Source organism: Homo sapiens, chromosome 1 (assembly GCF_000001405.40).
Source record: "Homo sapiens chromosome 1, GRCh38.p14 Primary Assembly".
NCBI classification, from domain to species: Eukaryota; Metazoa; Chordata; class Mammalia; order Primates; family Hominidae; genus Homo; species Homo sapiens.
In genome coordinates this window covers 167,722,928-167,745,873 of record NC_000001.11, presented here as the reverse complement: position 1 = coordinate 167,745,873, position 22,946 = coordinate 167,722,928, and the positions used below count along the sequence as shown (strand labels likewise).

The following is a 22,946-nucleotide window of genomic DNA, read 5'->3' as shown; positions in this document are numbered from 1 at the left end:
CAGTAAACCACAAACCTGAAAGGCATGTTGTCTTCCAACTATCAGTTAACCTATAACACATCTCAATAATTGTTTTCCAGCGTCTCCCTGGCTTCTGGCATCTAAGACTCTGAATTTTACCCAAATTTGGTTCTTCTATCTCTTGTTTCTTAGCTCAGAATTTAAAACCCAGGATATGCATAGTAAAATGAGTCCTATTTATTAAGTTTGAAAATAAGAGTGCCCATTTATTAAAAACATGTTTAATAAAATACAAAAAGAATATGACAAAACACAGAAATCAGTAATATCATAAAACTAAACAAAAACAAAAAAAGCTTCTTTGCCCATAGTGACCCAGGCAATCAATACCCAACATTTCAGCATCATCAGTGTTAACCCAAACAAAATAGAGATGTTAAGTATTTTCCGTGTTTTTAAAAGACACACAGGATATTCCCTGTGTTCAAGGTTCCAAAAACATTCTTGACATTAGTCTGCTGAATCTTCTATTCACACTATTAGTGACATGGTGTTTAGTACAATGCAAGATTTTTGCCCCATAACATAAACAATGACAAGCACTTAAAAATATATTTGTAATAAAGAGTCTGACATCATTTTTGATATTTGACTGCCAAGAGCTTTCAAGCTGTACCCCTTTCCTCAGGGCAAGCTAATAAGAAAGCCCAAGTGAGCCATCCTTTGGAACAGGTGGGAAGTTCAAACCAAGACCTGGCTGAAGGGGCATATAAGGACCTTCACTCCAGACTCAGCAACTTATCACCATAAAAGGAGAGCCAGTATCCTTTTCCTGCTTTCTCAAGCCATTCTTGTACCTGCATGGGAAGCCTGCCCTGCTCTCCCCAAAAAGCCTCAGTAAGTGAGTCATAAACCCTTTTCGTACCGTCCTGGTGCACATATGGTATCATCAGTTTCCACATCTTAACCAAATTTTGCAGTGGGGGGAGAAGTAGTGGATCCATCCGCCTCTGCGGAGTAAGCACAACATTTATTCTTAAACTGATGACAGTAAACATTATTCTGTTTTGATCTTACTCCCAATTTAATGGAAATAAATTTAACGAAACAAGTGGAAAAAAATATTTACTAGTTGTTGGAGTCTATAACTTTTATTAAGGTCTATATGTGAACTTGGAAGGAGAAAATGGGCAAACTGCTATTTGGAGGTTCTTTTTTTTTTTTTTTTTGAGACTGAGTTTCGCTCTTTCGCCCAGGCTGGAGTGAAGTGGTGCGATCTCGGCTCACTGCAACCTCTGACCCCCGGGTTCAAGTGTTTCTCCTGCCTCAGCCTCCCAAGTAGCTGGGATTATAGACGCACACGACCATGGCCCACTAATTTTTGTATTTTTAGTAGAGACAGGGGTTTGCCATGTTGGCCAGGCTGGTCTCAAACTCCTGACCTCAGGTGATCCACCCGTCTTGGCCTCCCAAAGTGCTGGGATTACAGGCATGAGCCACTGTGCCCGGCCTTTTTTTGGTTTTTAAAGAACACTTAGACTCTGGACATGCTTCCTAATTGTTTTACACATCAAAAGTTGTCCCCTTTGTAAGTTTTTAACAAGATGTCTAGAAAGGTTTCCTGAAAAACTTCCGGTGTGACTATGTGGTCTGCAACTATGTGAATCACAGGGTTACCCGAGACAAGAAAGAGTGATGTGGGACCTTGTGCAAAAAGCCCTCCATGCCTCAGTTTCTCATACTTTTAAGTTTATTCTAATAGTACCGACTTCAAAGAGTTATTACAAGAATGAAATGAGTTAATATTTGTAAAGGGCTTAGAATGCCTGTCCATTACATACCTCAATGTAATAAAAGCCATCTATGACAAACCCACAGCCAACATAATAATGAATAGGGAAAAGTTGAAAGCAGTCCCTCTGAGAACTGGAATAGGACAAAGATGCCCACTCTTACCACTTCTCTTCAACAAAGTATTGGAAGTCCTAGCCCGAGAAATCAGACAAGAGAAAGAAATAAAGGGCATCCAAATCAGTAAAGAGGAAGTCAAACTGTTGTTGTTTGCTGATGATAAGACTGTTTACCTAGAAAACCCTAAAGACTCCTCCAGAAAGCTCCCAGAACTGATAAAAGAATTCAGCAGTTTCCAGATGCAAAATTAATGTAAACAAATCAGTAGCTCTTCTATACACCAACAGCAACCAAGCTGAGAATCAAATCAAGAACTCAACCCCTTCTACAATAGCTGCAAAAAAAGTAAAACAAAATACTTAGGAATATACCTAACCAAGGAGGTGAAACACTTCTACAAGGAAAACTACAGAACACTGCTGAAAGAAATCACAGATGACATAAACAAAAGGAAACACATCCCATGCTCACGGATAGGAAGAATTAATATTGCGAAGGCCAGGCGCGGTGGCTCACGCCTGTAATCTCAGTACTTTGGGAGGCCGAGGCGGGAGGGTCACGAGGTCAAGAGATCGAGACCAGCCTGGCTAACATGGTGAAACCCCGTCTCTACTAAAAATACAAAAATTAGCTGGGCGTGATGTGCGCCTGTAGTCCCAGCTACTTGGGAGGCTGAGGCAGGAGAATTGCTTGAACCCAGGAGGCAGAGGTTGCAGTCAGGCAAGATCACGCCATTGCAATCCAGCCTGGCGACAGAGCGAGACTCTGTCTCGAAGAAAAAAAAAAAGTGAAAATGATGATACTGCCAAAAGTAATCTACAAATTCAACGCAATTCCCATCAAAATACCACCATCAGTTTTCACAGAACTAGAAAAAACAATCCTAAAATTCATATGGAACCAAAAAAGAGCCTGCATACAATCTGGAGACATCACATTACCTGATTTCAAACCATACTATAAGGCCACAGTCATCAAAGCAGCCTGGTACTGTAATAAAAATAGGCACATAGACCAAAGGAACAAAATAGAGAACCCAAAAATAAACCCAAATACTTACAGCCTACTGATCATTGACAAAGCAAACAAAAACATCAAGTGGGGAAAGGACACCCTATTCAACAACTGGTGCTGGGATAATTGGCTAGCCACATGTAGGAGAATGAAACTGGATCCTCATCTCTCACCTTATACAAAAATCAACTCAAGATAGATCAAGGACTTAAATCTAAGACCTGAAACTATAAAAATTCTAGAAGAGAACATTGGAAAAACCCTTCTAGACATTAGCTTACGCAAAGACTTCATGACCAAGACCCAAAAGCAAATGCAACAAAAACAAAGATAAATAGCTGGGACTTAAACTAAAGAGCTTTTGTGTGGCAAAAGGAACAGTCAGCAGAGTAAACAGACAACCCACAGAGTGAGAGAAAATCTTCACAATCCATTCCAAAATAAACTATAGTTCCTATTCTGATTATGGTAGACTGATGATAGACTATGGACTCCTTAAGAAATTCCCTCAGGCACTCCATATATATTTATTTTAAAAGTTGGCAAGTATCTTTTTTATTTGAAAGATACTATTAAGGTATCTGCCCATAATATAGTTAGGCGATACACTCTTATACTTGTTATATATTTATATGCCGGGTTTTTGATATTATGGAAAACAAGAACAATTTGATAAGATCAAAGATTTTTTTTTCTTTTTTTTGTCTTGCTCTGTCACCCAGGCTGAAGTGCAGTGGCATGATCTCTGCTCACTGCAACCTCCGCCTCCCAGGTTAAAGTGATTCTCCTGCCTCAACCTCCCGAGTAGCTGGGACTACAGGTGAGGGCCACCACGCCTGGCTAATTTTTCTATTTTTAGTAGAGACGGGGTTTTGCCATGTTGGCCAGGCTGGTCTCAAACTCCTGACCTCAGGTGATACACTTGCCTTGACCTCCCAACAAGGGTTTTTTTCTGGGGGCAGGGTCTCACTTTGTCACCCAGGCTGGAGTGCAGTGGCATGATCATGGCTCACTTCACCCTCAACCTCCCAGGTGCAAGCAATCTTCCCACTTCAGCCTCCTGAGTAGCTGGGACTACAGGTGTGAGCCATCAGGCCCAGCTAACTTTTATATTTTTTGTAGAGACAGGGTTTCACCATGTTGCCCAGGCCGGTCTTGAACTGCTGAGCTCAAGTGATCCTCCTGCCTTGACCTCCCAAAGTGCTGGGATTATCGGCATGAGCCACAGTGCCCAGCCAAGACTAAAGGGTTTTAAACAACAAAATGACAGCACCTGATGTAAAATAGTTCTTGCTGCTATGTAGAAAATGGAGTGGAGGGGAATACGGACTGAAATTGGGAAAGCAGTTAAGAAGTGACTGCAGGCCAGGCACAGTGGCTCATGCCTGTAATCCCAACACTTTGGGAGGCTGAGGCGAGCAGATCACTTGAGGTCAGGAATTCAAGACTAGCCTGGTCAACATGGTGAAATCCAGCTCTACTAAAAATACAAAAATTAGCCAGGCGTGGTGGCGTGTGCCTGTAATTCCAGCTACTCAGGAGGCTGAGGCACAAGAATTGCTGGAATCTGGGAGGCGGAGGTTGCAGTGAGCTGAGATCATGCCACAGCACGCCTGGGTGACAAGTGAGACCTTGTCAGGAAAAAAAAAAAAAAAAAGTGACTGCAGGCTAGACGTGGTGACTCATGCCTGTAATCCCAGCACTTTGGGAGGCTGAGGCAGGAGGATCACTTGAGCCCAAGAGGTCAAGACCAGCCTGGACAACATAGCGAAACCCCCATCTCTAAAAAAAAAAAAAAAAAAAATTAGCCAGGCGTGGTGGCACATGCCTACAGTCCCAGCTACTTAGGAGGCTGAGGCAGCAGGATTGCTTGAGCCCAAGAGTTCAAGGCTGCAGTAAGCCGTGATTACACTACTGCACTTGAGTCTGGGTGACAGAGCAAGACTGTCTCAAAACAAAAACCAAAGAAGTGACTGCAGTAATTCTGGTGCTGTGTACTGCAGCCATGACCTAGACTAGAGGCAAGGAGATGGTGAGAGAAAGGGATGACATACAGGACTTCTTGCTATTAGATTGGACATGGGAGTGAAGAGAAGGGATGAATGGAGAATAACTCCTGGGTTTCTAGCTTGAGCAACTGGATAGATTTAACTGGAGAGAAGGAATAGAAAGCAACCTGCCATTTTGGAAATGTTAAGTTTGCAATGTCAATGAGACCTTGAGACCTCTAAATGGAGTTAAGCAGGTAACCGGATATGCAGGTCTGATGTTCAGAGAGGTCTGAATTGTATATAAATTTTGGAAGTTACCAGCATACAGGCAGTATTTTAAACTACAGGAGAAGATGCTATTACATAGGAAAATAATGTAGAGGAAGATGAGAGCCAAGCCGAAGTCATACAGACATCAAACTATAAAGGTCAGGGAGGGAGAAAAGACCCTGAAAAGGTGGCGGAAAGGGAGCAGACTGTGAGAGGGGAAGAAAACCAGAGAATGTGGTGTAAGTAAAGCCAAGAGAAGAGAGGAGGGACTGAGAAGTCATATAAGGTGGCTATAGGGAAGAACTAATATGGTTTGTCAACCTGGAGTCCTCTGGTGATCCTGATAGGAGAAGTTTCAATGGAGTGGCAGAGGCAGCTGTGGGATGGCTGGACAGAAGAAAGTGGGAAGGGAGGGTGTACATACAAAGAAAGGAGTATAGTCCATTTTTGTAAAAATTTGCTAAGAGTTACGGCCCAGAAATGTAGCTAAAGAGGACTATAGAACCAAGAGAAGGTTTTTAAGATTAGAAATTCTAGCTCATGTTTGTATTGTAGTAAGAATGATCTAAAGAGGGCAATAATTAAAGCAACAAATGCTTAAGGATGTAAAAAGAGATGGTAGGGTTTTCCCAGGGTTGAGGGATTGCCAGGTAAGTGCAATGATGGCACAGAAGGGCTGGGGAAGTAGGAGCCTTTACAAAGGAATGATTATAACAATGAACTATGGACTCCAAGTTGGAGCGGGAGAGGGAAGCAGCCAGGAAGTAACGAATACAAAACAAAAGCAGGGAGGGATGGGAAGACTTGATGAGCTCCAGAAACTGTCGTAGTGAAACTATAAAAGGATATGGTGCTTGAAGGGTGGGAAAAGATTGTGGAGTTGCTACATTTTCTGGTAAGGAGGTTCTGAGCAGATAAGAGGGGTAAGGAAAGAGAGCCAAAGTAGATGTTTAGAGTAGTGACTGTAGTTAACAGGGATATGACAAATGAGGGGGCAAATCCAGACACTTTTGAGAGTGAGGCAGAAAACAAAAGTTCTCTAGCTATATTCCCCAGGTATATGGCTGCTTACCAGGCTCCCTGGGGCTTCTCTGGGTGTCATGGCAATGTTTAATGTTTATGGGAAGGCAGCACATACAGAGAACTTGAGAGCTCAATTTCTACATCTGTATAAGGTAAATTACATCTTAGAATTTTTGAAAGCTTTAATTATTCTTTCAAAATTCAAAAGCTCTTCTACTTAAAAACTTTCAATTAACAAACCAACAAAGCATGGTAACACTCTGCACACCACCAATAAATTCATTCAACAAACACCTGAATTCATTCTATGTCCCAGTCACTTTTCTGGGCCTTGGCAGAGATTCATACTGCAGCAGGAACGCCAAGAAAGAATAAACATAAATATATATATGTGTATATATATATATATATATATATATATGTATATATGTATATATGTATGTGTATGTATTAGTCCCTTTGGCTGGGTGCAGTGGTTCACACCTATAATCCCAGCACTTTGGTAGGCTAAGGCAGGCAGATAACCTGAGGTCAGGAGCTCAAGACCAGGTTGACTAACATGGTGAAACCCTGTCTCTACCAAAAAACACAAAGCTTAGCTGGGCATGGTGGTGTGCACCTGTGGTCCCAGCTACTCGCGAGACTGAGGTGGGAGAATCGCTTGAACCTGGAGGTGGAGGTTGCAGTGAGCCAAGATTGAGCCACTGTACTCCAGCCCGGGTGACAGTGAGACCCTCTCTCAAAAAAACTCCGAAAAACCAAAATATATGTATTGGTCCATTCTCACATTACTATAAAGAAATACCTGAGACTGGGTAATTTATTAAGAAAAGAGGTTTAATTGGCTCGTGGTTCTGCAGGCTACACAGGAAGCATGATGCTGGCATTTGCTCGGCTTCTGGGGAGGCCTCAGGAAACTTACAATCATGGCAGAAGGTGAATGGGGAGCAGGCATGTCTTACATGGCAAGAGCAGGAGCAAGAGAGAGAGGAGGATGTGCTACATACTTTTAAACAACCAGATCTCGCAATAACTCACTCACTCACTCACTGTCAAGAGAACAGCACCAAGAGTATGGTGCTAAATCATTCATGAGAAATCCCCACCCCCAAGATCCAATCACCTCCCACCAGTTCCCACCTCCAACACTGGGGATTACAATTCAAAATGATATTTGGGTGGGGACACAGAGCCAAACCATATCAATATATTTCCAGCTATAAATAGTAGGAAAAATACAAAGTACAGCAATGGAGATCAGTAAATAATGGGGTTAGTAGTTACACGGACATCTTATTTGTATCACTATGTTGTTAGCAGACATGAGTATTTGTGGTCTTCATGTTCATTTTTGTGCACTGACTCAAGTCCAAGGTTCTTTCAATTCAACATTAGCGTACTAAATATCTTGAAATCTGGTAGAGACCTGATTATTTAGTTAAATCAAAAAAAGGTAATGAATTTTAAAACAAGAAATCTTGGCCAGGCGCGGTGGCTCACTCCTATAATCCTAGCACTTTGGGAGGCCGAGGCGGGCGGATCACGAGGTCAGGAGATTGAGACCATCCTAGCTAACACGGTGGAACCTCGTCTCTAAAAAAATACAAAAAATTAGCCGGGCACAGTGGCAGGCGCCTGTAGTCCCAGCAACTCAAGAGGCTGAGGCAGGAGAATGGCGTGAACCCAGGAGGCGGAGCTTGCAGCGAGCCGAGATTGCGCCACTGCACTCCAGCCTGAGCGAGAGCAAGACTCTGTCTCAAAACAAACAAACAAACAAACAAACAAAAAAACACAAGAAATCTCAGTACTCAATGGATGATATTGGTTCTCTGTAGAGATAATCTACTCTAAATGACAGGCTCTCCATCCAGGAAATCTCTTTAAGATCCAGAAAAAGGCCAATCAATGTTTCTAGGCCATATCCTCATATCTAAAGTGTCATTGTCAGCACACTGCATCACTGCCCAGTGAAGAGGTAATGTAACTAATCCAATGCACCTGTCAGTTATATTCCTACTGTGAAGAAAGGGGTGTTTTAGGCTATGATAGCTTGATGGCCAGAGCCATTGAGGTCATTCAATAAACATCTACTGGGCTTATCCCATATTCCCTGGGCAATCTTGTGAGAACAATCTATCTCAGCACAGGGAGAGAATGTACTAACAACCCGATCTGCTAAAATATACTAGCCCCCCAGCGTTTATAAAGTTCACTGTAAGTTAAACTGACGTTACGATCTTATTGAACACCACCCCTCAACCCCTTCCTGATCTTGGCCCAGTTCCCTCCCCAGCCTCATCCTGGCCCTGAGCCACATCACTATCAAATCCAGTGTCTACAGTACAAAGTTGAGGACTGATTACTACCCTGCTCTTAAGATCTTAAGTTCTGGGAGGTTCTGCTTCCTTATTTTCACCCTCTCTGCTCTGATGTTTGTAATTTCCACTTGAGTACAGTTCAACAGTTCATCTAATATATACTAAACATTTACTATGTTCCAGGCATTATGTTAAGCATTGGAGACCCAAAGTATATAAGACACACAGTTCCTGTATTTGGGGAGACAATCATATAAAAACATAATTTTAGATAAAGAGATAGAGGAAGCTTAGAGGCAAAGTGCTTGGCCTTGAGATTACATCTGAGATGAGAAAGCTAAATAGGAGTTAGCCAGGTAAATAAGGGACAAGGGTAATCAGAAGAGTGAAAATATCATACACGAATTCAAGGAGACATAAAACAGCAGTATTATGCAGAAATGTTGCAAAAAATCAATAAAGTACAAGGAAGGGGATGGCAGACCTAAGTACATCCCAGAGATAATGGGGAGAGATGGAGGATCTTAACAGAAGAGTGGTACAATTAAATTTGCCCAAGAGAGAGATCCCTCTGGCAACAGTTGGGAGGGCAGACCTGAAGGGAAGATGACTACCATTAGAGAGACGATCTAGGAGTCTCAAGCCTCTTGCAGTAACATGAACTTAAAATGACTGGCATTTGTCCTGGGACAATGGAAAGGAGGGAGTGGGTTCAGAAATAAAAGGTAAACACTGGCAGAGATCTGATTAAATCCAGGGAGGTGAGGTGAGGAAAGGGAAGGATTCTAGGATGAAGACCAAATTTTTGGCTTGGCTGACTTGAGGGAAAGACAAATAGGACAGCAGCAAGCAATAACAATAGCGAGTGGCATGCCGGAGGAAGCACAGTTTGAGGAGGAGAGATATATAGAGTTGAGTTCTGAGCATACAGAGTTTGAGGTGCCTCTGGACATTCAAATGGGTATGTCCAGTTGTATGTAATGGTCAGTTGGTAAGATTCTGCAGTTCAGAGCACTGGGGATATATTTGGGAGTCACCATTTATTCAACAAATACGTATTGAATGCCTATAGCTGCCACATATTCACTGTCAACAAACAGACAAAAATGGACGAAATTACCAAAGACAAGCATGCAGTGAGACTAGCAAAGGGCTGAGAGCAGAACCTGCCTAAGGAAAATCAACATTGGGGCCACAGGCAGAGGATGAAGACTTGAAGAAGACAGGGAAGAGAGATGAGAACCAGGAGTAATGTCACAAAGGCAAAGGAAATGAGATCAAAGTGGTCAACCATGTTAAGGAAAGCAAAAAGGTCTGGAAAGAAAAGGCTGAAACAGGTTAGTTGATTTGGTAATATCAGATGGCCTTTATCAAAGTGTCAAATAGTGAGAGGAGGAGGAAGTCAGATAGCACCAAGTTGAGATGTAAAGAGAAAGTGCTAAAATAGAGACAACAAAGAATAGAATTGTTTACAATCATGGGAAACCACAATTTGAGATCTCCACTATGGCTTATCTTTTAAAATTCATTAGTTATTTCTGTGAAGCTGTTTTCTGATAAGATTAATATTACAATTGGGGGACTCTGAGTAAAGCAGATTACCCTCCATTATAATGTAGGTGTGCCTTATCCAATCAGTTAAAGGTCTTAACAATAACAAAGACTGACCATCCCTGAAAAAGAAGGAATTCTGCCAGCAGACCGCCTTTGGACTTGAATTGCAACTTTTCCCTAGGTCTCCAGCCTGCCAGCCTACCCTGCAGATTTTGGACTTACCAAGCCTCCACAATCATATGAGCGAATTCCTATCTATCTATCTATGCCAGCAAGATATAGATAGGTTATCTATCTATATTTATATAAAGAAAAAGAGAGTGCACACACACACACATGCACATCTTGCTGGTTCTGTTTCTCTGGAGAACCCTAATTTTGGTTTTAAGAGTGGCTCTAAAGGAGCAGAATCTTAAGGATGAGTTCTCTGAATTGATTCTAGGGTTTCAGGACTTGGCTCTCTAACTGGATTAAAGGACACTAATGACTATTTCCAGTAGTAAAAGTATGGGTATGATGTGGCAATGGAGATATGCAAAATGTCACCATTGGGTACTTTTAATCAAACACGTATAAGAATAAGGTTCTGGGTGACCACATATACTATACCTTTAAACATTTTTGTCAAACTAATGAGTATAATGAGATTTGTTGGTTACTCCTAATGACAATGGACAAAGTGAGAAAAGAAATGGATGAGCTCAGGGATTCAAATTCCCAGCTTGAGCACTACATATCTGAACAGAAAACTTTATGTCTGAAAGATATCCTTATCTCTGTTAGCCATAGAGCTGAAATTGCTGAAAATCAAATCCAGAATCTTATTCTGCAAATGACTCAACTACAGCACAAACTGAATTCCCAACGTCTGCAGGGTGTCTGCTACTAAAGTGAGGGCATTGATTGGGAAGGAAAGGGATCCTGAATATTGGAATGGAGAAATGTGGGAACTCCCTTATGGAGCTGGAAACATTGAATCCCTAAATTCTTATGAGTCTTTTTTGCCAGTGGAAGCAGCCATCCACCCACATCTGAGGCAATTAAACCTGCTGTGCCTGAGGAAACTTTAATGGCCTCCCCTGAGGCAGCTGCATTGCAAGACACTGCTGATTCTCCTCAGGACCTACCCCCAACGCCTCTCTTTGCTTCTAGATCTATAACTAGACTTAAGTCTCAGGAGGCTCCTAAAGGTGAGGTACAAAATGTGAACCATGAAGGTGCACATACTCTAAAAAAACTATTTGATTTTTCTAATTTATATAAACAGAAATCTGGGGAATATGTGTGGGAATGGATATTAAGGGTATGGGATCATGGTGGAGGGAACGTCAAGTTGGGTTAGGCCAAATTTACTGATATGGGCCCACTAATCAGAGATTCTGCATTTAATGTTACGCAACTCAGGGTGTTAGAAAGGGCTCTAACAGTTTGGTTTGCTGGCTGAAACATGGACCAAAATGTGGCCCTCAGTAAATGAACTTGAAATGCCAGGCCTGCCTCGGCTTACTATGGAGGAAGGCATTCAAAGGCCTAGGGAGACTGGAGTGTTACAGTGGGTTTATCTTTTTTTTTTTTTGAGATGGAGTCTCGCTCTGTCACCCAGGCTGGAGTGCAGTGGCGCAATCTTGGCTCGTTGCAAGCTCTGCCTCCTGGGTTCACGCCATTCTCCTGCCTCAGCCTCCCGAGTAGCTGGGACTACAGGTGCCCACCACCATGCCTGGCTAATTTTTTGTATTTTTAGTAGAGACGGGGTTTCACCATGTAAGCCAGGATGGTCTTGATCTCCTGACCTCATGATCCGTCCGCCTTGGCCTCCCAAAGTGCTGGGATTACAGGCGTGAGCCACCGCACCCGGCCTACAGTGCATTTATCTTTTAAGATCTACTTACTCACCTGTGAGTGTCCAGAGGACATATCTTTTTTTTTTTTTAAACAGGGTCTTGCTCTGTTGCAGGCTAGAGTGCAGTGGCTCAATCATAGCTCACTGCAGCCTTGAACTCTTGGGCTCAAACAATCTTCCTGCCTCAGCCTTTCAGGTACCTAGGACTACAGGCTCACGCCACTAAGCCTGGCTAATTTTTTTTTTTTTTGACAGAGTCTCACTCTGTCACCCAGGGTGGAGTGCAGTGGCACAATCTCAGCTCACTGCAACCTCACCTCCTGGATTCAAGCGATTCTTGTGCCTCAGCCTCCTGAGTAGCTGGGATTACAGGCACGCATCATCACGCCCAGCTAATTTTTGTATTTTTAGTAGAGATGGGGTTTTGCCATGTTGACCAGCCTGGTCTTGAACTCCTGACCTCAAGCAATCCACCCATCTCAGCTTCCCAAAGTGCTGGGATTACAGGCATAAACCACCAGGCCCAGCCAGAGGACACACCTTTCACCACATGACTGTGAAAAGTAGATCTGTGAGGGGAGTCCCAGCATTTTAAAAGAACTTTGTGACACTCTTATCTATAGCCTAGAACTTACAGTGGGAACTGCTGTCACTAAATTGGGACACGTAAATGCAGTGGGAATAATTGGATCATGGGATGACAGGGGCCAAATGGCAGCACTGAACTGCTAAAAGCAAGGTAGGCATGATTACCATGATGGACAGCAGAGTCAAGGCACAGCTGGAAGTCTGACTCTCACAGATCTATGGCATTGATCAGCTGGTCACGGTATTCCTACAAGTGAAATAGATAGGAAACCTACTAAATTCTTACTTGATCTATATAAACAGAAAAGTTCTAGGTCAAGTGAACAAAAAGTCTAATGTGAATCATAAAAACAGAAAGTCAGGACCCTTCAATCAATTCCCAAACGTGTGCCAGTTCACAGATTTAGAATTCCTTGAATAAAAGACAGGCTGAGTCCAAAGTAGCATAAATTTCTAAAGGAGTTTCAATGAAAGCTCTTAAGTGGAAAGCACACTAGCTTTGTGGACCAAAACATTTAAAGAACTAAAATGACTTTGGGAGGCCAAGGCAGGCGGGTCACCTGAGGTCAGGAGCTCGAGACCAGCCTGGTCAACATGGCGAAACCCCATCTCTACAAAAATTAGCCAGGTATGGCAGTGCATGCCTGTAATCCCAGCTACTCAGGAGGCTGTGGCAAGAGAATTGCTTGAACCCAGGAAGCAGAGGTTGTGATGAGCTGAGGTCGCACCATTGCACTCTAACCTGGGCAACAGAGCTAGACTCATCTCAAAAAAAGAACTAAAAAGAGCTGGGGTTTGGTGGCACACACCTGTAGTCCCAGGTACTTGGAGACTGAGACAGGAGGATCACCTGAGCCCAAAAGTTTGAGGCTACAGGGAACTTTGACCATACTTGTGAATTGCCAGCCACTGCACTCCAGCCTGATCATCATAGTGAGACCACATTTCTAAAAATGAAAAAATAAATAACTAAACTGTATTTTGTATTTTTTTTGTTTGTTTTTGTTTTTGGGACAGGGTCTCCCTCTGTTGTCCAGGCTGGAGTGCAGTGGCATAAACATGGCTTACTTCAGCCTCCACTCCTAAGCAATCTTCCCAAAGATGCAGTTTTGCCATGTTGCCCAGGCAATATTTTGTAGTTCTTAGTACTTACAAGAGTAGAAGGAAATTTCTGAGATAAGATATTGTACAAGCCAACAAGCTAATCGAAAAGTCTTAAGGCCAGGTGTATTTCAGAATATAGAATTTTTCAGATTTTAAAAAATTAATACAATACCTATACTATATATTATGTAGTAGTCCCTAGAGAGTACAGGGCAGCATCCCACAATCAAACACATTAATATCTCTGCGGTGAAAAATACAATTAGTCATACCAAATAGGATCACAGTTGTAAACAGTATCTTACTACTTCAGGTTGAATTTTGCAGCCAAAGAATTTGTATCAAACTTAGGAAAAAACTTAATTTTCAAAGTATTTGTGGCTTTGCAGTTACAGATAAAAAAACTGTGGACCTATAACTTGTTTTTTGGTTTATTTTTACTTTGTAGAGATGGGGTCTTGCTATTTTGCCCCAGCCAGTCTTGAACTCCTGGCCTCAAGTGATCCTCCTGCCTCCTTAGCATTTTCTGATCCCCCTTTTTTTTTTTTGAGACACAGTTTTAGGCTGGGTGCGGTGGCTCACGCCTGTAATCCCAGCAGTTTGGGAGGCCAAGGCGAGGGAATCACGAGGTCAGGAAATCGAGACCATCCTGGCTAACATGGTGAAACACCGTCTCTACTGAAAAAATACAAAAAATTAGCCGGGTGTGGTGGCGGCTGCCTGTAGTCCCAGCTACTTTGGAGGCTGAGGCAGGAGAATGGCATGAACCTGGGAAGCAAAGCTTGCAGTGAGCCGAGATCGCGCCACTGCACTCCAGCCTGGGCGACAGAGCAAGACTCCGTCTCAAAAAAAAAAAAAAAAAAAAGACACAGTTTTACTCTGTCGCCCAGGCAAAAGTGCAGTAGCACAATCTCGGCTTACTGCAACCTCTGTCCCCCAGGTTCAAGCGATTCTCGTGCCTCAGCCTTCCCGAATAGCTGGGATAACAGGTGTGTGCCACCATATCCAACTAATTTTTTCCATTATTAGTAGAGATGGGGTTTCATCATGTTGGCCAGGCTGGCTTCAAACTCCTGACCTCAAATGATCCGTCCACCTCAGCCTCCCAAAGTGCTGGGATTACAGGCGCGAGCCACGGCACCCGGCCCATTTTCTGGTCTTAAATCCATATTATTCAACCTGATTACAAATTAGCATCACCTCTGTTCATTATTAATCCATTCACCAATTTCATTAGTGTGCAAGGTTCAGCAAGCCTCACTGCAGTTCTTCTAAATTTGCAGTCACTGAAGAAAAAAAAAGAATTAAATTCCTAATAGCTGAAAATGATCAAGACTCAAAGTTCCCAAGAGTTAACAGACAAGTGCTAGACCTCCAACTTGTGGCAGACAACATGGCTACAGAACCTCTGTCAATGGGGCAGAGGAGCCAAGAAGAGGTACAAGGGAGGAGACTTTGGTTTGGATGCCTGGGCCTGTTTGGACATTCTGTAAGGCAAGCATGCCAGGAGTCTAATGGCAAAAGGACCTGCACAGCCTCCAGAGAAGAACTCATCTCAAAGGAAGAAAGTCAAGGCTTAGTGGCTTCTTCCACATGTAATGTGTAATGAGGGGCAAGGAACCATTCTGAGCCCAGTATGGTATCACTCAGTATAATGGATTCATGCTTGTGCTCTTGATAGCGGGAGAGGTATGAGTGAGAAGAACCTACAAGAACCACATCAGCTGACATGGTGGCTCATACCTGTAATCCCAACTCTTTGGGAGGCTGTGGCAGGCGGATCACCTGAAGTCAGGAGTTCAAGACCAGCCTGGCCAACATGGTGAAACCCTGTCTCTACTAAAAACACAAAAATTAGCCAGGTGTGGTGGCAGGCACCTGTAATCCCAGCTATTAGGAAGGCTGAGGTGGGAGAATCACTTGAACCAGGGAGGTGGAGACTGCGCTGAGTGGAGATCGTGCCACTGCACTCCAGCCTGGGCCATATCAAGAGACTCTGCCTCAAAAAAGAAAAGAAAGAAAGAAAAAGAAAAAAAAAAGAACATCATTAAAAATCCCTGAGGAGCATTTAGAGTATTGGGTGGCACAAACAGATTCTGCATGATTGGTGAGGATGGCTTCAACACGGCAGCTTTATTCCTCTTTAACAGAGTCAGCAGCATCAAGGCATGAGGGATCTTGGCACAAACATCACCCCAAAGAAGAAATCTGGATGCCCCAGGACAGCTAAAAAGCCACTCTGTAAACACTTAAGACATTCCAGAATCTTCCCCAAAATGTTTAGAGACTTTGAAGAAAAAATTCTATAATACAGCAGGGTGGTTGCAAACATGTGCTTTGGAAATTGAGTCTCAACTCTACCATGTATTAGCTGTGTGATCTTAAGACCCTTAAGTTACACAATCTCTCTGAAACTTACTCTTCTTATCTATAAAATTAATAAAAATAATTATTGCACAGAGCTGTGAGGAGTATATAAGTAAATCGTTTAGCAAAGGCGTGGCACATAGTAAGCACTCAATAAATGAGAGCAGAGCAGAAGATATAACATGAACCTAGTTCTATGCCCTAACTTCTAAGGGCTAAGAAACAGAAAAGGGAGAGGGAGAAGTTAAAACATCTCCCTAACTGCTCACTCACTCTCTTTCTCTTCTCTTTTCAGACATCTAGGAGATTTCAAATATTTGCATTTTACCACATTTCTCTTAGGAACCTGAGTCCTCTATCTATGCTTCCTAATTCTCAGCAACACCCTTTGGAAGAAAGTATATAGCAATGATAACCTGGACTTGACTAGAGAATAACTATTAGACACTGTCTGGCCACAGGGTCACTAGGTTCTCATTGAAGCTAAGCTGACAATATAACACCTTATAACTTTTCATCTTTTCAAGTTTACCAAGTGTTATCTGGAAGAAGCACATGATTATGTTAAATGTATATAACTCCACATTGTAAACTTAATGTTTGGAGAGAAAAGAACACATTTCTTAATTTTAATAACAGCATCTTTTTTTTTTTTTCTTTTGAGACAGGGTGTCTCACTCTATCACCCAGGCTGGAGTGCGATGACACGATCTCAGCTCACTGCAACCTCTGCCTCCCAGGCTCAAGCGATTCTCATGCCTCAGCCTCCCAAGTGGCTGGGATTATAGGTGTGCGCCACCACCCCCAGCTAATTTTTTTTTTATTTTCAGTAAAGATGGGGGTTTTATCATGTTGTCCAGGCTGGTCTTGTACTCCTTAGCTCAGGCAATCCACCCGCCTCAGCCTCTCAAAGTGCTGGGATTACAGGCATGAGTCACCATGCCCGGCCGATAACAGCATCTTTTAAAATGCACGTAATAAACTCCCCAGATCCTAAAGTAGAATATCAGGGTCCCAGTATGAAAAAATGTTCATTGCAAGTTCATCAAGGTCTGTTCAGTTGGTTGCAGCATGCTCCTAACAAAACTTAAGTCATAGATTTCATTCTATGGGGCAATCTTATCTGCAATACACAGGATAGGCAAAGACATACTGCATTTCTAACTCCAATCAATTAAACCTAAGTACTGGATTCAGTGTATCACTGTTGCTACAAAATTACTCAAGCTCTATGTTCTAACAATAAGATCAGAGGTATCATAAGGTATCACAGTTTCTAGAGACTCTGAGTTTAGAAGAAGAAACCTACTGAAGGAGGATTTATCAATGAAATCATCTTGGATAAAGGCCTAATGGGATCAAGAAAAAATTGTTAAGTGAATAAAAAATTACAGTAGCCACATGCATTGAAAAAGACAATGAATAGGTTGGGCACGGTGGCTCATGCCTATAATCCTAGCATTTTGGGAGGCCGAGGCGGGTGGATCACCTGAGGTCAGGAGTTCGAGACCAGCCTGGCCAATATGGTGAAACCCCATCTCTACTAAAAATACAAAAAAAAAAAAAAAAAGAAAGAAAGAAAGAAAAAAAAGAAAAAAAATTTGGGCAGGGCACGGTGGCTCACGCCTGTAATCCCAGCACTTTGGGTGGATCACCTGAGGTCAGGAGTTGGAGACCAGCCTGCCCGACATGGCAAAATTCCATCACTACTAAAAATACAAAAAAATTAGCCAGGCGTGGTGGCAGGCACCTGTAATCCCAGCTACTCGGCAGGCTGAGGCAGAAGAATCGCTTGAACGTGGGAGGAAGAGGCTGCAATGAGCCGAGATGGCGCGACTGCACTCCAGCCTGGGCAACAGGAGTGAAACTCTGCCTCAGAAAAAAAAAAAAAAAAAAAATTAGTTGGGCGTGGTGGCTTATGCCTGTAATCCCAGTTACTTGGGAGGCTGAGGCAGGAGAATCACTGAACCTGGGAGACAGAGGTTGCTGTGAGCCGAGGTTGCACCACTGCATTCCAGCCTGGGCGACAAAACGAGACTCTGTCTCAAAAAAAAAAAAAAGGAAAAGAAAGAAAAAAGATAATGAATAAACAAAGGGGTTTAAAGGCAAAGATATAAAGATCCCAGGAGACAACCACAATTTCTCAATTTATGCACTATGGTGAACGGAGCCAACTGACCTCTGCTTTCTTACGGCAGCAAAAATTCCAAAGACTTTTGTCTGGACTCTAGGGCACTGCTAATGTCAAACGACTTAGCAAAGTAAGAGTGGAAAAGGAAAAAAGGAATATCATTCAAGATACATGAAGGCTTAATATCACCAGCCTTAGGGGTCAAGTCTCAGAGCCATATGACACTTGAGACCTCAGGAGATGCTTCTAGTTCTTCTAATAATTATACCGTCTTCGATGGGGCTAAAGACTAATCTATAATAAATTATATGCCAAAGCTTACCATTTTACTCTCCCTTTTAAAATGACATCTGTGGTCTTAGAGAGCAAGATTAAAAATCTTTCCAAGGTTGAGGTACACATGAGATGTATGTCTTACACAAATAATTCAAATTCTCAGATAAAAGATATAACTCAAAAACAGTCAGGCTCCAGTTAGAAGGCTCTAATCATCCAGTAGAGACATGACTGTGGCTGTACTATATTAGCTCCAGTGTGGATGCAAAGTGGATGGTGAGAAATATTTAGTAGGTAGACCAGCATCTACTGGATAGAGGGGAAACAGCAATATTTCTGAAAAGCTATGTTTTTCCCAATTAAATCATGTTTTTAAAACTCAGTGGGAAAGACCAATCTTTAAAGAAACCCTATAACATATCCCTTATAAGTTTTAAAAATATTTTATAATACAAATAAGATGTTCCATTTTTCAAAAATTTGCTGCAAATTTTCATATTAGATCAATCATATTTTCTTAAAAGTTGTGATTGTTGGGAATTTAATCTGTCCTTTGGTATTATTTATTTGAGTAGATGTTTCCTGTCTGTCACTTCTCACTAGCATCTAGGCTCCCTGCTGCATCCCATACATAAACAGTGCCTTGTGCCCAGTAGGTGTTCATTTACGTTGAATAAGTAAATAAATTAGACTTAATGAAAACACAAACTTGCATTTTATGTTCTTTTGCACATAGCTGTCTTTCACTTAACATTTATCTTTTTCTTTTGGCAGCATCTAAGCCTAGTGGATATCCTGGAGTTGGAGTAAAAAATATACATATTTTATAAGACTAAGTTTCTATTTTACTATCCTGACTAGTAAATAAGTAAAAGGCCAAGGGAACTGATAATGAGAAATAAGCAGTGCATGAAATCACACTTTGGAAAAATATTCTTCTTGCATAAACACATATTGAGGACCTACTATACCATGCTAAATCATAACTACATATTGCAAACTCCTAACAAACTGTTGTCAAGACATGCCTATGCCTCACTGCCATTTAACAAATATTTTTAGCATCTACCATATCCACTGTGTTAAGCACTAGGAATACTTCTATAAACAAGACAGATGATTTGTCTGTCCCAGATTCTGATGGAGGAAAAAAAAGAGAAGAAAAACCATATAGAAATTACAATAAGGAAGTAAACGGCAAACCAGCAAATAGTAACAGGTAAGTACCCTAGAATAAGGTGGTCAGAGAGGCCTCTCTAAAGATGTGAAACTTAGAGCCTCTGTGATGGAAAGGAGCCAGCCCTGGGCAACATCAGAACAGCTAGTTCAAAGGCTAGGAGGTGGGAATGAGTGTCACAGAGCAGAAAGATGGCAGTGTGGCTTGAATATAGTGAGAAAGGGGTGGTGGGTGGTACAAGTTGAGGTCATAGAGGTAAGCAGAAACCAGATCACAAAGAGCTTTTCAGGCCATGGGAAGTTTAGATTTCATTCCAAGTGCAATGGGAAGCCATTAAGGATTTTAAAAAAGAAGGCAACATGATCTGATTTGCATTTTAACAAAATCATTCTTGCAGTTTTGTGAAGAATGGATTAAAACGAACCAAGATGAGTACTGGGCGTGGTGGCTCATGCCTGTAATCCCAGCACTTTGGGAGGCTGAGGCAGGCCGGTCACTTGAGGTCAGGAGTTCCAGACCTGGCAAACATGGTGAAACCCTGTCTCTACTAAAAATAAAAAAATCAGCCAGATGTGGTGGCTCACGCCTGTAATCCCAGCACTTTGGGAGGCCAAGGCGGGTGGATCACCAGGTCAGGAGTTCGAGACCAGCCTGGCCAACATAGTGAAACCCAGTTTCTACTAAAAAATACAAAAATTAGCTGGGCATGGTGGCATGCGCCTGTAGTCCCAGCTACTCGGGAGGCTAAGGCAGGAGAATCGCTTGAACCAGGGAGGTGGAGGTTGTGGTGAGCCGAGATCACGCTACTGCACTCCAGCCTGGGCAACAGTGCGAGACTCCATCCCCCAAAAAATAAATAAATAAAATAAATTTAAAAATAAATAGAAAAATCAAAAATTAGCCAGGCATGGTGGTGCATGCCTGTAGTCCCAGCTACTTGGGATGCTGAGGCACAAGAAGAATCACTTGAATCTGGGAGATGGAGGTTGCAGTAAGCCGAGATTGTGCCACTGCATTCCAGCCTGGGCGAGACAGAGCAAGACTCCAGAGGGGGAAAAAGAGGAAGAGCAGCTGGGAGGCTATCACAGTAATATAGGCAAGAAATGGTGGTGACTTTGACTAAAAGGCTAGGAGTGGAGGTAGAAAAAACATCAATTCCAGATGCATTTTAAAGATGGGAGAACTGATTGGATGTGAAGGACAGGGAAGAATCAGGGATGGACCCTAGGTTTCTGGCCTGCACAATTAGATGTATGGAGGTTCCATTTACTGACATGGATGGTACAAATTACTGAGATTTAGTCCTCATATACTATGTGCTCATTTCAATTACCAAATTCAGTGAATTCTTATCACATTTTATCTCTCTTCATCTGACAATGCTGAAATACCAAACTCACCTGGTTTTTCTCTTACTCACAGAGACTCTTTGTCAGGTTTCATATACCCCAAAACTCCGTCTTTGGCTCTCTGCTATGTTCTTCAGTGCATTTTCCCTGGATGCCCTCATCCAAACAATCCAAGCTTTAACTATTAGCCACATAACTCTCTAAATCTCCATTTCCAACCAGAACTTTCTCCTCACCTCCAGAACTGTCTATCCAATTGTTTTCTGCCCATCTCCATTTGGATGTCTTACCCGCATCTCAAACTCAACATATTCAAAAGTATCTCCATCATCTTCTTCCCCCAAGACTCCTATTTCCCCATCTGTGAAAAGGCCAAAAATATGCCCAGCTTCCCAAGCCCAAAACCTATGATCATTTTATCCACCTCCTCTTTCAAGCCTGCATCAATGTTTCCAAGCTCTATCAAACGTACTTTCTAAGTGGCGCATCAACATGTGTCCTCTCTTCATAGCCCAATGCTTGAATTCAGATCTTCATCATCCTCCCCGGGATTATTACAATAGTCCTCTGCCTTCTCTGGCTTCAGCCTCACCCCACTCTAACCCATCCTTCACATCTCAATAGACAGAGAAATCCTCATTGGATTAAGTGTGGCAGACAAGGCCCTTTGTAAGCTGGTGCCCTTGGCAGGCTCTCCTGCCTCAACTCCCACCATTCCCCTTATATACACTCCAACCTCCCACTATACTGAACTACCAACAGGTTCATTCATAACTCTGTATGTACTTCTGCCCCTCCCCCATGCCTACCCAGTTTAAACTCCCTTCCTCCAGTAGCCTGAACTACAGTCTGAGATAATGACCCTCCTTCAAGCTCCCACAGTACATCTTTACCAATGTGCTTCTGACCCTACACAGTGGCACACACCTGTAGCCCCAGCTGCTTGCGAGGAAAAGGCAGAGGAATCACTGGAGCCCAGGAGTTTCAGTTCCAGAGCAGCCTGGGCAACACAGTGAGACCTAACCTCCCACCTTTTAAGTGTTAAGCACTTAAAAGGTGCTCAGTGAATGTTTGCTGAGTAACTGTCTTGATAAAACTTTAGAAGCTATCCTGTAAAAGATAAACTCTTATGTGCAGTATCCATGACCAGAAAAGAGGTGATTTGGCAAGAATTTTAGATTCAATAATTTTCTAAGTTGAACCAATAACATCAGCTGCTGATTTTTACATATCAACATTCATCTTCATTACTGAAGAGTTACGTCCAAGTTGTATGGGGCTATTACTCTAGTGATCTTTTCACTACTATGTAGTTTTGCACTCCTTCTACGTTTAATACCCTGATTTTAATTAAGATCACCCTAACTGCTTTGTCCTCCATAGCAATGTCTGACCTCTCATGCATAACAATTCTGTCTGAAGCATATTTCTGATAAACCTTAATTTTAGGCTATTTTCTACTTGTTTGATTAAACACAAATACCACCACCAACAAACACACTTTTAACCTTTTTTTCTAAGACAAAATACAGAATGGATTGTGTCTTACACAAAGTGTGTCATCATCTGTCAACCCCTGGAGGGTAGGGAGACTTTTACATTTATGCTTTACAGCCCCTGGAATCACTGTTTAAGTGGAACAGTTGGTGATCCAACAGAACTTCACCTAGTTTCCCTGATCCAAGGATTATATTAAGAACTTTTCCATGAAGAAAGAAATTACTGAGTAAACTCTGGTATTCAGATACTGTGATGCTAAATCATAACTGACATTTTGAAAACAAAGGGAATGAAAAAAATCTACGTGGTTTCTTAGCAGCTGGCCCTCTTTATAACTATTATTTAACTAAATTCGGAGACAGCAACAAGTACTTTGCTTTGAACAACAACACAGAAAAGTCCTGTGGCAGATACCACTTCAGATGTCCATAAAACAAGTCATCCAATTCCCATAAATTGAGCCCGAGGTTTACCTTAAGCTTGAGTCACAATATTTGGTAAGAAAAAGGAGCTTTTTTTTTCCTTTAGGAAAATTATGCTTTTTAATGCTCTATGTCTTGTCAAATTATGGT

General features: G+C 42.2%; 1 protein-coding gene across 4 annotated transcripts in view, besides 1 other annotated feature; it reads right to left on the bottom strand.

Annotated features, from left to right (window-relative positions):
• Window positions 1-22,946, bottom strand: part of MPZL1 (myelin protein zero like 1) — a 69,938-nt gene that overhangs the window by 46,046 nt on the left and 946 nt on the right. Inside the window, exon 2 of one of the 4 annotated variants that reach the window (XM_047433610.1) lies at window positions 12,636-12,717. The exons of the other annotated variants lie outside the window; for them this stretch is intronic. The gene's annotated coding sequence lies outside the window, so the exon portion shown is untranslated. The remainder of the gene's footprint in view (window positions 1-12,635; window positions 12,718-22,946) is intronic. 4 annotated transcript variants of the gene reach the window in all.
• Window positions 17,349-17,848: an enhancer, noted in NCBI's record as "H3K4me1 hESC enhancer chr1:167697263-167697762 (GRCh37/hg19 assembly coordinates)". NCBI's record gives its function as "activates a minimal SCP1, AML or CMV promoter by ChIP-STARR-seq in naive H9 embryonic stem cells {active_cell/tissue: H9 hESC(naive)}" and the evidence as "EXISTENCE:reporter gene assay evidence [ECO:0000049][PMID:30033119]".